Source organism: Homo sapiens, chromosome 12, assembly GCF_000001405.40.
Source record: "Homo sapiens chromosome 12, GRCh38.p14 Primary Assembly".
Taxonomy (NCBI): domain Eukaryota; kingdom Metazoa; phylum Chordata; class Mammalia; order Primates; family Hominidae; genus Homo; species Homo sapiens.
Window position 1 is genome coordinate 116337481 of NC_000012.12, and position 13692 is coordinate 116351172.

The window sequence follows — 13692 nt, forward strand, 5'->3', positions numbered from 1 at the left end:
GGCTTGGCCCACTGTTGATGTTCAATACGTATTTGTTGTTGAATGAATGAGCGGAAGGATTTGATGATAGCCGACCTCTCTCTTCTTTCTCCGTCCAGGGTGCCTCCCCCTTCTGGTAGCAGCATCCCCATTCCTTTGGGAGCCTGCCTAGAATGTTAATTCTAGCTGGGGGAATTCTAATTGCAATTCTAAAATGTAATTCTAGCAAGGGGAAGGCAGGTTCCCGAAGAAATGGGAAACAGGTTCACTCCATATGGATTGACACTGCCTACCTGAACCACCTGAATTAAGAAGTGTGGTATCCTCAGCTCTTGAGGCTCCCCATGATGTGACACTAGTGTCCTTTTCTGCTTCTATGCTCACACTCCTCCTTGGCTTCTTTCCCTTCCCTGGATGTCCGCTTTTCTGTTTTTTGTTTTGTTTTGTTTTGTTTTGACACAGAGTCTCACTGTGTTGCCCAGGCTGGAGTGCAGTGGCGAGATCTTGGCTCACTGCAACCTCTGCCTCCTGGGTTCAAGCAATTCTTGTGCCTCAGCCTCCCAAGTAGCTGGGATTACAGGTGCCCACAACCATGCCCAGCTTATTTTTGCATTTTTAGTAGAGACGGGTTGTCACCACATTGGCCAGGCTGGTCTCCAACTCCTAGCCTCAAGTGATCCGCCTGCCTCTGCCTCCCAGAGTGCTGGGATTATAGCCGTGAGCCACCGTGCCCAGCCCTAATTCTCTACCTTTTGTCTGTGTGAGCTTGGGAAAGTTAATTAACCTCTCTGAGCCTCAGTTTCCTTAGCTGTGAAATGGGGATAAAAGTGAGATAACACCCACAAAGGAGCTGGAACAGAGCTGCCACTCATTGTCTTCTGTTAAATATGAGCCCTGCCCCATCCCAGAGATTTGGGGAATAACTGCAGGAAAGTCCGTGGTCACGGTGGGCAGTATAGTGTGACAATTAAGAGCATCAGCTCTAGCTCTGTCATTTAGTAGCCCTGTGACCTTGGGTAAGTTTATGTAACCTCAGTCTCCTCACTTTAAAGTGGGATAATAATAGCGACAACATCTGAGAGCCATTGTGAGGAATAATTGAGAGGATTGAGAAACGTGCCCAGGAGGTGGGCTTGGCTCTGAAGAAGCACTCAATGAATGGCAGCTATTTTTTGGCGGAAACCATGGGGAGAGAGGCTTTCTTTTCTCGATAGGGTTACTAAACTGGTAGAATGTGAGCCTAGAGCTGCTAGCAGCCATCTGTGGGAGGCCCTGCCTGCAAACAAAGCCAGCCCAAAGAAGGCCGAGCAGCAGAGAGGTGGACAGGGAGGGACTCCTGGTGACTTTTTTTTTTTTTTTGTAATGCAACTTTTTTCCTTTCTTTTTTTTTTTTTCCGAGTCTCGCTCTGTCATCTGGGTTGGAGTGCAGTGGCGTGATTTCAGCTCACTGCAACCTCTGCCACCCAGGTTCAAGCAATTCTCCTGCCTCAGCCTCCCGAGTAGCTGGGATTACAGGCGTGCGCCACCATGCCCAGCTAATTTTTGTATTTTTAGTAGAGATGAGGTTTCACCATGTTGGCCAGGCTGGTCTTGAATTCCTGACTTCAAGTGATCTGCCTGCCTCGGCTTCCCAGAGTGCTGGGGTTACAGGCATGAGCCACTGAGCCGGGCCTGTAATGCGACTTTAAAATATAACACTAAATACTTATTAACATGGGGTTGTACCAGACATGTGTTTAACTCATGCAAATCCAACTCTGCATGTTTGCCTTGGTAATGAGGAAGTGGGTATAATCCTCCAGAACCAAAGGGCCAGGGAGGAGGTCTGAGTGCCACTCCAAATGGGGTGTGGAGGACTGAACTCCTCCTTCCCTGGCTTCTGTAGCTGAGGGAGGCACAAAACCAGTGGTTCCCAACTTTATCCCAATGCTTAGTACCAGGATGCCCTTTTTATTATTTATTTCTGTATTTATTTATTTAGAGACAGGGTCTTTCTCTGTTGCCCAGACTGGCAGTGGCGTGATCATGGCTCACTGTAGCCTCCAACTGCTGGGCTCAAGTGATCCTCCCACCTGGGCTTCTGAGTAGCTGAGACTACAGGCGCACCACACTAGCACATCCAGCTAATTTTTAAATTTTTTGTAGAAACAAGGTCTCGCTATGTTGTCCAGGCTGCTCTCGAACTCCTGGCCTCAAACGATCCGCCTGCCTCAGCCTCCCAAATGCTGGGATTACAGGTGTGAGCCACTGTGCCCGGCCAGGATACCCTTTTCAAAACCTTCAAAAATATCACCAACCTGCACTTGAGTGTTTTCTCATGAGAAAAGGCATAACAACAAAAAGCCACTGTGAATTAGTATGTACTTTTAAAGAATTTTTAAAAATTGCACTAGTGCTGAAAAACTATTCATGTGTCTATATGTGGGAGGTATTGTTTATTCATTCTATGGACCATTCCATCTGCACTTTGGGTATGCAGACTCTTGCTGTATGACTCTGGGGCCCAACCCCCAACACCTCTACAGCCCTTGGGTTCCAGTGGTGCAGTTCTTGGTATGTGGCCTGCAGCCCACTGAGTGGGTCTAAGCTCCTTTCTACAGGCCATCAACTGATCCTAAAAGGTCACATTCTTCCTCTGGTTCTTATGAACAAGTTACACATATATCCGTTGATTTCCAGCTTGATGCATGACTAAGTGCCACTTTCTAGGAACCTACTAAGTGAGTTACTACAATTGACTAGTCATAACTAAAATTAGAGTGTTACTGGGAATTACCGAGAACTCAGCCGCAGGGATCTTCTGGAAGCCTGGCTCCTGCATGATGCTTTTCAATGCTGCAAAACTCCTACTGCACAAGTCACAAAGCAGGAACTGGTGGCTGCAGATGGGAGGAAGGGTCTTTGGCCTTGCCTAAGTGAGCCAAAGATCAAAAGCATTTGAGAGCCACTGTTCTAGGATCTGGAAATTCAGTAATCTACTCTCCTGGGTGCTTTAGTCCCCCATCTCGATATCCCTGACATTTCCAGCTGCTCTTAACGTCATTCCCAACTTGCACTTTTAGACCACCATAAGTTACCTATAAAGCATGCTTTAAACAACTGATATTATAAATAACATTCAAATTCCAGTTCTGACCTCTAAATGCCTAAGCCGACCATTCAGTTAATAAATATTCAATAATACTCAAATATATTCAGGCGTATATTAGATCCAGGGCATGTAGTAGTCATCAAGACTGTTGCATTCCCTGTTTGCATGGAACTTATGGTCTGGTATCAGAAAAAGACACTATATAAATAAATGAAGCAATGATAACATTTCATGGGCTTAAAAAAATAAAGTATTGAGGTAGAGGCTGGGTGCAGTGGCTCATGCCTATAATCCCAGCACTTTGGGAGGCTGATGGGGGGGATCATTTGAGGTCAGAAGTTTGAGACCAGCCTGAACAACATGGGGAAACCCCGTCTCTACTAAAAGTATGAAAAATTAGCCAAGCGTAGTGGCACAAGTCGGTAATCCCAGCTACTGAGGAGGCTGAGGCACAAGAATCATTTTGAACCTGGGAGGCAGAGATTGCAGTGAGCCAAGATTGTACCACTGCACTCCAGCCTGTGCAACGGAGCAAAACTCTGTCTCCAGAAAAAAAGTATTGAGGTAGAGAATGGCATGGGAGTCCCTATTTGAACACAGTGGTCAGGAAAGATGTCTTAGTCCATTTTATGTTGCTATACAGGAATACCTAAGGCTAGGTGATTTGTAAATAAGTTTTTTTGGTGCACACTGCCACAGGCCGTACAAAAAGCATGGTGCCAACATCGGCTTCTAGTGAGGGCCTCATGCTGCTTCCACCCAACGGGAGATAAATAGGAAATGGTGTGTGCAGAGATTGTATGGCAGGAGAGGGCGAACGAGAGAGGAGAGATGTACCAGATTCTCAAGGGAACCAATAGAGTGAGGACTCTCCACAAGGGAGGGCATTAATCTGTACATTAATCTGTGCCATTAGGCCCCATCTCCAACATTGGGATCAAATTTCTTTTTTTCTTTCTTTCTTTTTTTTTTTTTTTGAGACGGAGTTTCGCTCTTGTTGCCCGGGGTTGGAGTGCAATGGCGTGATCTCAGCTCACGGCAACCTCAGCCTCCCAGGTTCAAGTGATTCTCCTGCCTCAGCCTCCCTAGTAGCTGGGATTACAGGCATGTGCCACCATGCCCAACTAATTTTGTATTTTTAGTAGAGACGGGGTTTCTCCATGTTGGTCAGACTGGTCTCGAACTCCCGACCTCAGGTAATCTGCCCGCCTCGGCCTCCCAAAGTGCTGGGATTACAGGCATAAGCCACCGCACCCGGGCTTTTTTTTTTTTTTTTTTTTTGAGACGGAGTCTTGCTTTGTTGCCCAGGCTGGAGTGCAGTGGCACAATCTCAGCTCACTGCCAGCTCCACCTCCCAGGTTCATGCCATTCTCCTGCCTCAGCCTCCCGAGTAGCTTGGATGACAGGCACCGGTCACCATGCCTGGCTCATTTTTTTGTATTTTTAGTAGAGATGGGGTTTCACTACGTTAGCCAGGATGGTCTCGATCTCCTGACCTCGTGATCCACCCGCCTCAGCCTCCCAAAGTGCTGGGATTACAGGAGTGAGCAACTGCACCTGGCAGGATCAAATTTCAACATGAAGTTTCAGGGGACAAACATCCAAACCATAGCAAAAGATGTATCAACCAGGGTTCTGTGATTGTAAGCAACAGAAAATGATGCTGGAAATTTATTGGAAAGATGTGGGAGACTTGCAGAAGCAATGGAAAAACTGGACCTTGTGAAGGAATGACCAGAACCACACAAATTCTAGGGATGTAGGGAGCAAGAATGAATGGAGTGTCTCTTAAGTGTCTCACGTACATGATATATCAATGTCAGCCATTGTCTGTCTTTGGTTCATTTGGGTCAAGGGCTTATTCATTTGGCATGGAGGGAAGGGAAGGGCAGGAAACCTTGATTGGCAGTTGCTCCAAGGCCATGTAGAATGCAGGAAGAAAACAGGGGTTCCATGGTGGACCCCACTGGCTGGCCAAACCAACACGCATTTCTACCTCATTCCCTCTGCCAATTTCCATTGTCAAGACTAGAAAAAGCAAAATCTTTGCCTTCCTAGCCTCCCTTGCAGCAAGGGATGGGTGTATTACACAGGTCTGGCCAATGAGACAAGCTGCTGTGGATGGAAGAAGGTGTTCCGGAAAAACTTTTGCTTTTGAATAAAAGGGACAGGTGTTGCCAGTACCACCATTTCCCCACTTCTTCTTGTTTTGAACATGGCCATAAACCTTGGAATGACAGTCATCTGCTTTCTTGCAACCACGATAGAAAATGCAAGCGACTCACAGAGATACAGACTTTGGTATTGCTGGGTTGAACCAACTCTGGAATTACCTAAGCTAGATCTCTTGTTTTGTGAGAAAAATAAATCCTTATTTTTTTAAGTCATTGTTTATCAGGTGGTCTTCTGTTACTTGCAGCCAAACGTATTTTTTGGTAATTGTGGTAGATTGTATTATTGTTCCCAACTGTTTGCTCCCCTTCCTGTAATGGGATTATACATCCCTGTCCATTGTCATGTAAATTTCAGTGCCTCCCAGCAGTGGTATATCCTTTCCCACCCCCGACAGACTTGGACACAACTTGTTTTTTGTTTGTTTGTTTGTTTGCTTTTTGAGACAAGGTCTCACTCTGTCACCCAGGCTGGAGTGTAGTGTTGTGATCTCAGCTCACTGCAACCTCCGCCCCCCAGGTTCAAGCGATTCTCCCACTTCAGCCTCCTGAGTAGCTAGGACTACAAGCACACGCCACCACACCTGGTGAATTTTAATATTTTTTGGTAGAGATGGGGTTTCACCATATTAGCCAAGCTGGTCTCAAACTCCTGACCTGCCCACGTTGGCCTCCCAAAGTGCTGAGATCACAGACATGAGCCACTGTGCCTGGCCACAACTTGTTTTGATCAATGAACTGTGAGCAGATATGACAAATGCCAAGTCTGACCAGAAGCTTTAAGAGAGATTGTGTGATTCAGTTCTGTCACCTGCTGTTTTCCATCTGCCATATGGACAGCTTGTCCCAAATAGGGGCTGTTCCTTTAGACTGTGTCCCAGAATGAGAGATGCATGGAGCTGTAGCAGCTGAAATGTAACAAACATGAAATAAATGTTTGTTCTTGGAAGCCACTAACCTTGGGGTTGTTTGTTACTGCATCAAAACTGACCAATACACTGAAAATGATCCTGTTACCTCCAAAACTAGTATGAATGTTAAGCATGCAAAATTAATGGTATCCACTATTGAAGGCCTTACTGAGAACATGACAATAAAGCTGAGGTCTCAAGCATGCAAAGTGATCAGCCATGCAGATAAACAGGTGAAGAGTATTCTAGGTCAGGGAATCACATACTCAAAGACCTGAGCCAGGAAGGTGCTTGGCATTTTATTTTTTTAAGACAGGGTATTACTTTGTCACCCAGGCTGGAATGCAATGGCGTGATCATGGCTCACTGCAGCTTTGACCTCCTGGGCCCGAATGATCCTCCCTCCTCAGTCTCCTGAGTAGCTGGGACTATAGTCACATGCCACCACATCTGGCTTATTTTTTATTTTTAGTAAAGACAAGGTCTTGCTATGTTGCCAAGGCTAGTCTCAAACTCCTGGGTTCAAGCGCTCCTCCCACCTTGGCCTTCCAAAGTGCTGGGTTTACAGGAATGAGCCATTGTACCCGGCCATGCTTGGGATTTTTTTTTTTTTTTTTTTTTTGAGACGGAGTCTCGCTCTGTCACCCAGGCTGGAGTGCAGTGGTGCGATCTTGGCTCACTGCAACATCCGCCTCCTGGGTTCCAGCAATTCTCCCACCTCAGCCTCCCGAGTAGCTAGGGTTGCAGACATGCACCGCCATGCCTGACGAATATTTGTGTTTTTTGGTAGAGGCATGGTTTCCTCAAGTTGGCCAGGTTGGTCTCGAACTTGACTTCAGGTGATCCACCCATCTTGGCCTCCCAAAGTGCTGGGATTACAGGCATGAGCCACCACGCCCGGCCCATGCTTGGCATTTTTAAGAAACCAATGTCAGGATGACTTTCCTCTGTTCCCGTTCTTCCTGTTTTCAGGTCTTTTAGCTTGGACTTCTGTTTCTAGTGCTACTCTCTTCTCCTTGGACTTGCTGTTCCAACTCAGCTTCACTGTCCCTGATCATTTGTCTCTCTAAGGGCTCAGCTTGCTCTCATCTCTGGCTCATTCCACTCTTCACTATTTGGTGTTGCCCATCCCAGCCCTGACCCCAGGAACTGGGTCAAGCCAGAACCCAGCCTGGAAACACAAGGCCAGGCATCAGACAAGGGGGTGGTTTCATTTCTCTCCCCAGGCTCATTTTATGGTATTCCAGTTCAGCACTAGGGAAGCAGAAATCCTTCCATATTTCTTAATTGGTGGCCACACAGCTTGTTAAATTTAATTAATGAGGTATCATCAACTCATCTCTGATGCCTTGGTGGAAAGTTGAATTCCACATGCAGGTTGGGAAAACAGGTGGGTGAATGTGTCTCTGTGAGTTTCAGGGGTAGGTTGTATTCCTGGTGGGCACTCCTGGGATACTCGGTCTAAAACAGTCAAAATCTCATGTATATTAAATGAATGATATGCTTGCTCCCAAATCCTGTGAAACAGGCTCATTTTAGTATACCTCCCTGCCCTCAAGTTCTACCCCTGAGAACTCTGTCACAGCCCTGCAATGCCTCCCTCTTCTCATGCCCCAGTCACTCAGTTTCTCAGGAGACCTTTCAGTTATTTATTTCTCACCCTTGTTTCTGAGAAAGTTGTGTCTTTTAAACAAATCCTGTCTTACTCAGGTGAGCCTGATTGGATCTCTGTTCCTTACAACTCGAGATGTTCAGACGAGCCCACCTGTCCCCCATTTTGCCCGTGGCTGTCATTTGGTGGAGATCATAATAAGATTATTTGGAGAAGTGATGCCTGCCAAACCCAACCCTCATTGTAAAAAGAGCAGAAGATTTGGCTCTTTTTACAGTGGAGTGAAGACGAACCTAGCAAAGAGATGCTGAGAAAGGGTGGGAAAGTAGAGAGATCGAAACAAGGAGTTAGAGGCTGTGAAAAAGATGGAAGAGGCTGATGGCTCTTCCAGAATTCACAAGCTGGGGTCTTTGGGGACCCAATTCAGCCTTGCAAACATGTTTTGTTGGGCTGAAACCATGTCTTTAAAAAACGTTGAGTGTAAATGCTTTGAAGACAAGAATGCACTTTTCTGTTCACCATAGTCCCCACCACTCCCTATTGTCCTCCCAGTGGCTTCCTCCACTTAGTTGGAGTCTAATGGTCTAGTTCTTTAGCCAGTTGAGTTTGTCATCTGTGCTTTATGTAAAAAGCCTGGTTAGAGGATTTTCAGGAAAGGGTTAGAAAGGCCCTATCATTAAGTTTAACCCTTATCTTACATTTGAAATCTTACACTTCTACCAGAGTCCCACACTATGAGCCTTATTAGACGCTACCATTTCCATGCATCAAATGTGCTAAATAAAGAGTGATGTGCAAACCCGCGTTGGAAGTAAAGGCAGCATCTCGTGTTGTGTTGGACTTGTCTAAGGAGAGGAACTGACACTGCTTACCTGTTGCCGAAGACAAGCAGGAGGAGACCCTTGAGAGGTCCCTTTAGAAGCAAAGAGGTTTCTCAGTGGGATCATTTCCACCTCTGGTCCATCTGACTTCACATGGGAGGAAAAGCCAGAAATGTCCCCCTAAGCTAGAAGAGGGGAAAAAGAAAATGCACTTAGGAACTGCCGATGATAGGGAAGAGAGCAGGGGGCAACATGTCCAGATCTTGCAAGAGACACTCAGGCAGCATTCCAGGCTCAGCCTGAACTTTCGACCCCATTGTCTACTCTAATTACTGGAACCAGCAGGATTAATTCCTCGACCTACTTTCCAGTTTTGTTTTGTTTTTTTTTTTCTGCCACAGAGCGATAAGGCTGCACTGGGCTTCTCTCTGTCATTTGAATGCAACAGTGGGGTTACATGCAGACTCGTGTTAGAGCCAAAGGAGGGTCTGATCTTTGAACTGGGGGTTCAAGATCACTTCTTTTTAGTTGATTCTCAATAAAGAGCACTCGAACACATGAAAACATCCCCTACTTTGAGAACAGAGATAGCAATGAAAACAAGATATTATTTTATACCTGCTAAATTAGCATACAATTTAAACTGATACATTAAAAAAAAATTTTCTTTAACTACCAAATGCTGGTGAGGTTGAAAGAAACCTGATGTTCACAAGTTGCTGGGTGGCACAATTTTATAATACAGCAATATATATTAGGGATCATTTAAAACCATGCTGTCCATTGATTCTGTAATCTCATTCCTGGGAAGTTGTCCAAAGGAAATGATTCCAAAGAAGGAAGAGCTGTATACAGAGACCTTCACTGCAGCATAGAGAGAAGAGTGTCAAAATGACTCATACGTAGGCTAGCAAACTCACGGGCCAAATTCTGCCAGAGGCCTGTTTTTGTATGGCCAGCCAGCTAAGAATGTTTTTTCTTTAAAGCCTTTTTAAAAGAATATTAACATGAACAAAAAAAAATGCGAAGTATGGCCAGCGAGTTAAGAATGTTTTTTCTTTAAAGGCTTTTTTTAAAAGAATATTAACATGAACAAAAAAAAAAAGAGTAGCGTTAGCTGACCTCTAGAATAAGAAAAACTTGGATAAAGATTATAGAACAGCATAGAAAAATGTTTACCATACATTAAGCATTGCAAAATATAAAATGGAATTTCACTATGATATCAACCATTTAAAAAGATGTCCTGTGTATGCAGGAAGAGAAGGCGAAGATGAAATCAGTTGTTTGGGAGTGATTTGAAGGAAGTTATTACTCTTAGAATCCCTTCTTATCAGAAACAGCTCAGATGCTCATGGGTAGGGAGTTTATTTTCTAAATGTGTCATCCTTATGATAGAGTACTATGCAGCCATTAAAAATGATGCTTTGGGTCTGCATTTACTGAAATAGAAAGATGCTGATGACATACTGTCAAATGAAAAGGAACATTACAGAACAGCATGCTCAGTGTGTTCTCATTTATATAAATTGAATACTGATCAATTTCTGTGTGTATGCATAGAGAACAATCTAGAAGGGCAAATACAAAATATGTTTGCCGCAATTATCTCTGAGTGATGGAATTTGGGGTGAATTTTACTTTTACTATTTGATGGTTTATATTTTTCTCAAACGACCACTTATTATCTTTATAATTAAAAAAACTCAACAGAAAACTTAAAAATTTGTCATTGGCAAGGAAGCCAAGGCTCTAGGAATCTGCTGTGCCCTCCCCTGTCTCTTTTCACTGCCTTCACCTTAAATGCCACTTCCTCCAGCCTCTGGGTCTCAGGCACAGGCCCAGGACTCGCTTTGGCTGCAAAATTTAAGGTGATGCCAAAAAACTCAGCGATCAAGATAAACATTTTAATGCCATATTTTAAAAAATCAAAATTAATGGGAAAATTCATGATGAACAAAATATTAAAATTTTTAATAAAGACAGGATCAGTATTATGGATTTTTCCCTTTTCCTCTGTCTCCAGTATGCCTTGGCACGGCACTTTTACTGAGTCTGTCTCTGTCTAAGACATTGATGCTTTGTTCACCATGAATTTTTGGCATTAATTTTTATTTTTAAAAATATTGTAATAAAATGCTACTTATCTTGATACTGAGCCTTTTGGCACTCCCTTAAATATACTAAAAAATCATTGAATTGGACCTTTTCAAGAGAAATTTATGGTATATAAATTATACCTCTATAAAGCTGTTTAAAACTTTATTTGTGGATATGAAAATTTGAATTTTGTGTCATTTTCATGTATTACAAAAAGACAGCAAATCTGTTACCTGTTTTTAAAAATTTTTGAGACAGGTCATGCCCTGTTGCCCAGGCTGGAGTGCAGTGGTGTGATCACAGCTCACCATAGCCTCGACCTCCTGGATTCAAGCACTCCTCCCACCTCAGCCTCTCAAGTAGCTGGGACTATAGGCATGTACCACTACCCCTGGCTAATTTTTAGAAATTTTTGTACAGTTGGGGGTCTCACTATGTTGCTAGGCTGGTCTTGAACTCCTGAGCCCAAGTCATCCTCTCACTTCAGCCTGACAAAGTGCTGGAATTGCAGGTATGAGCCACCATACCTGGCCTAAGTTTCAAAATTGTTTGTAGGAACACGGTCTTGCTATGTTGGCCAGGCTATTCTTGAACTCGTGGAAGCAATCCTTTCACCTCTGCCTCCCAAAGAATTGGCATTACAGGCGTGAGCCACCACGCTCTGCCTGCTTGCATGTTTCATATAGCCTACGGGTTAAGAATGATCTTTAAACTTATAAAAAGTAGGGAAAAAAATCAAAAGAAGGATAATATTTTGTGATACATGAAAATGACACAAAATTTAAATTACAGGTGACCCCTGAGTTAAAACATGGGAAATAACTTAACACAGAACCTGACTTGCATCAATTTAGGCTTACAAAGGAGTCAAATGGCCTCTCGATGCTGTTTCTCCGAGGCAGGATAGGCGAATACCTGCCACTTGGGGTTGTTTTGAGGAAATGTGGGCTGAGCACCTGCACAGAAGCCTCTACCTTTGCAAGGTTGACATTTCCAGGAGCAGAGAAGCCAAGCTACCACCCAGGCAGCTTGCTCTGGAAGCACAAGGGTCACTGAACCAGCTCCAATCACCAGTTCTGTTCCTATATCTCTTTGGTCTCTTTCTGCCATAGATATTCCCCACTTCTTGGTCATATTTTTCAGCAGAGTTTTTAATTACTGTCCAAGCAGCCACCACCTAGGAGTTTATCTGCTTCATTACTATGTGACAGGGCTATAAAACTGCAGATAACCCTGGCTCTCTGGGCAGGAGGGCTGCTGCCTCATCAGCCACCGTCTACAATAATTAACCATGCAGGGAAATAAAAACAAATATTGGACAACAGATGCCTCATCTGTGACCGAAAGCCCCTGACTCAACGAAAGCCAACTGGGCTGTGCCTCGGTGGCTCTCACTGAAGTGTTCCTGAAAATCTCCACCCTCAGAGTTTCTGTTTCACCCACCTGTTCCCTCCGAGTAGCAACCTCCCCACATCGCCAGCCTTCCAGCTTTAATAATTCACCCTCACTCACTTTAATTTTTTTTTTTTTTTAGAGACAGGGCCTGATTTTGTCACCCAGGCTGGAGTGCAGTGGCCCAGTCATAGCTCACTGCAGCCTCGACCTCCTGGGCTCAAGCAATTCTCCCATCTCAGCCTCCTGAGTAGCTGGAACTACAGGCATGTGCCAGCACACCCAGCAAATTTAAAAAAAAAAAAAACTGTAGGCCGGACGTGGTGGCTCATGCCTATAATCCCAGCACTTTGGGTGGATGAGGTGGGCAGATTACCTCGGTTCAGGAGTTTGGAGACCAGCCTGGCCAACATGGTGAAACCCCGTCTCTACTAAAAATCCAAAAGTTAGCCGGGTGTGGTCGTGGGTGCCTATAGTTCCAGCTACTCAGGAGGCTGAGGCACAAGAATCACTTGAACCCGGGAGGCGGAGGTTGCAATGAGCCAAGATCATGCCACTGTACTCCAGCCTGGGAAACAGAGCGAGACTCTGTCTCAAAAAAAAAAAAAAAAAAAAAAATTGTAGAGATGATGTCTCAGTATGTTGCCCAGGCTGATCTTGAATTCCTGGTCTCAAGGGATCCTTCTGCCTGGGCCTCCCAAAGCTCTGGGATTATAGGCATGAGCCACCATGCCCAGCCCCCACCTTCATCTTTGAACACTCTTTTCTTATCCCTCCCTCTCTTCTCTAGTCTAAGTCTTTCATGGCCCCCAATCCTTCCACTTTACTTTGTTGCGTCAGACCACCAGAAGGCAAAATGCCTTCCTTGATCATAGGCTTGTTGGAGGATTAAACGAGGTAAAGTACATGAAGGATCCAGCTTGGTGCCTGACCCAAGGTGGGTGCTTGGTCAATAACTCTTAGTACCCTGTCAATAGATGTCTTAAATAACAATGCCAAGTATTTGCAGACATGTCATAATTTCTGGGAGTGCAGACTATCTACAGGTCAAATGTTGTTACCCAAAATGCAATGATCATCTTGCCTTACCAAAACGGTTCATAATCAACTCATTCATCCATTCATGCAACAGTGAGGGGGCTGGGTGCAGTGGCTCTTGACTGTAATCCCAGCAACTCAGGAGGCTGAGGTGAGGCCAGAGGATCGTTTGAGACCAGAAGTTGGAGGTTGCAGTGAGCTGTGATGGTGCCATTGCACTCCAGCCTGGGTGACCAAGGAAAAGCCGGACTCTAAAAATAAATATGTAAAATAAAATAGAATTAAAAAAATAAATAACAGCAAGGAGCTTGTGCATCACATTAAGTAATTTGGACACTTCTGTAGGCATTGGAGGCATTGATGTTTTAAAGTAATTTACAAAAATATACTTATTGAAACCATGTAACTGAACATCTACTAAGCTCCAAGCACCGTTCTAGACAGTGCGGATTAAACAGAGAACAAGAGTAACATGGTTCCTGTCCTCAGGGAGCTTAATAAAATTTAGAGGGGTAGGCTGGGCATGGTGGCCTGTAATCCCAGCACTTTGGGAGGCCAAGGCAGGTAGATCACCTGA

At 44.6% G+C, this 13692-nt stretch overlaps 1 long non-coding RNA gene across 1 annotated transcript, besides 1 other annotated feature; it reads right to left on the reverse strand.

The window, feature by feature from the left end:
• Positions 1-2815: 2815 nt before the first annotated feature.
• LOC105370005 (uncharacterized) lies at positions 2816-13247 on the reverse strand. The gene is made up of 3 exons (XR_945392.2): positions 13167-13247; positions 8637-8770; positions 2816-2890 (listed from the first exon to the last, which is right to left on the reverse strand). It is a non-coding gene; the product is annotated as an uncharacterized LOC105370005 (long non-coding RNA).
• Positions 9724-10018: a silencer, noted in NCBI's record as "tiled region #4817; HepG2 Repressive non-DNase unmatched - State 23:Low". NCBI's record gives its function as "represses a minimal TATA promoter and a strong SV40 promoter by Sharpr-MPRA in HepG2 cells {active_cell/tissue: HepG2}" and the evidence as "EXISTENCE:reporter gene assay evidence [ECO:0000049][PMID:27701403]".
• Positions 13248-13692: the final 445 nt, after the last annotated feature.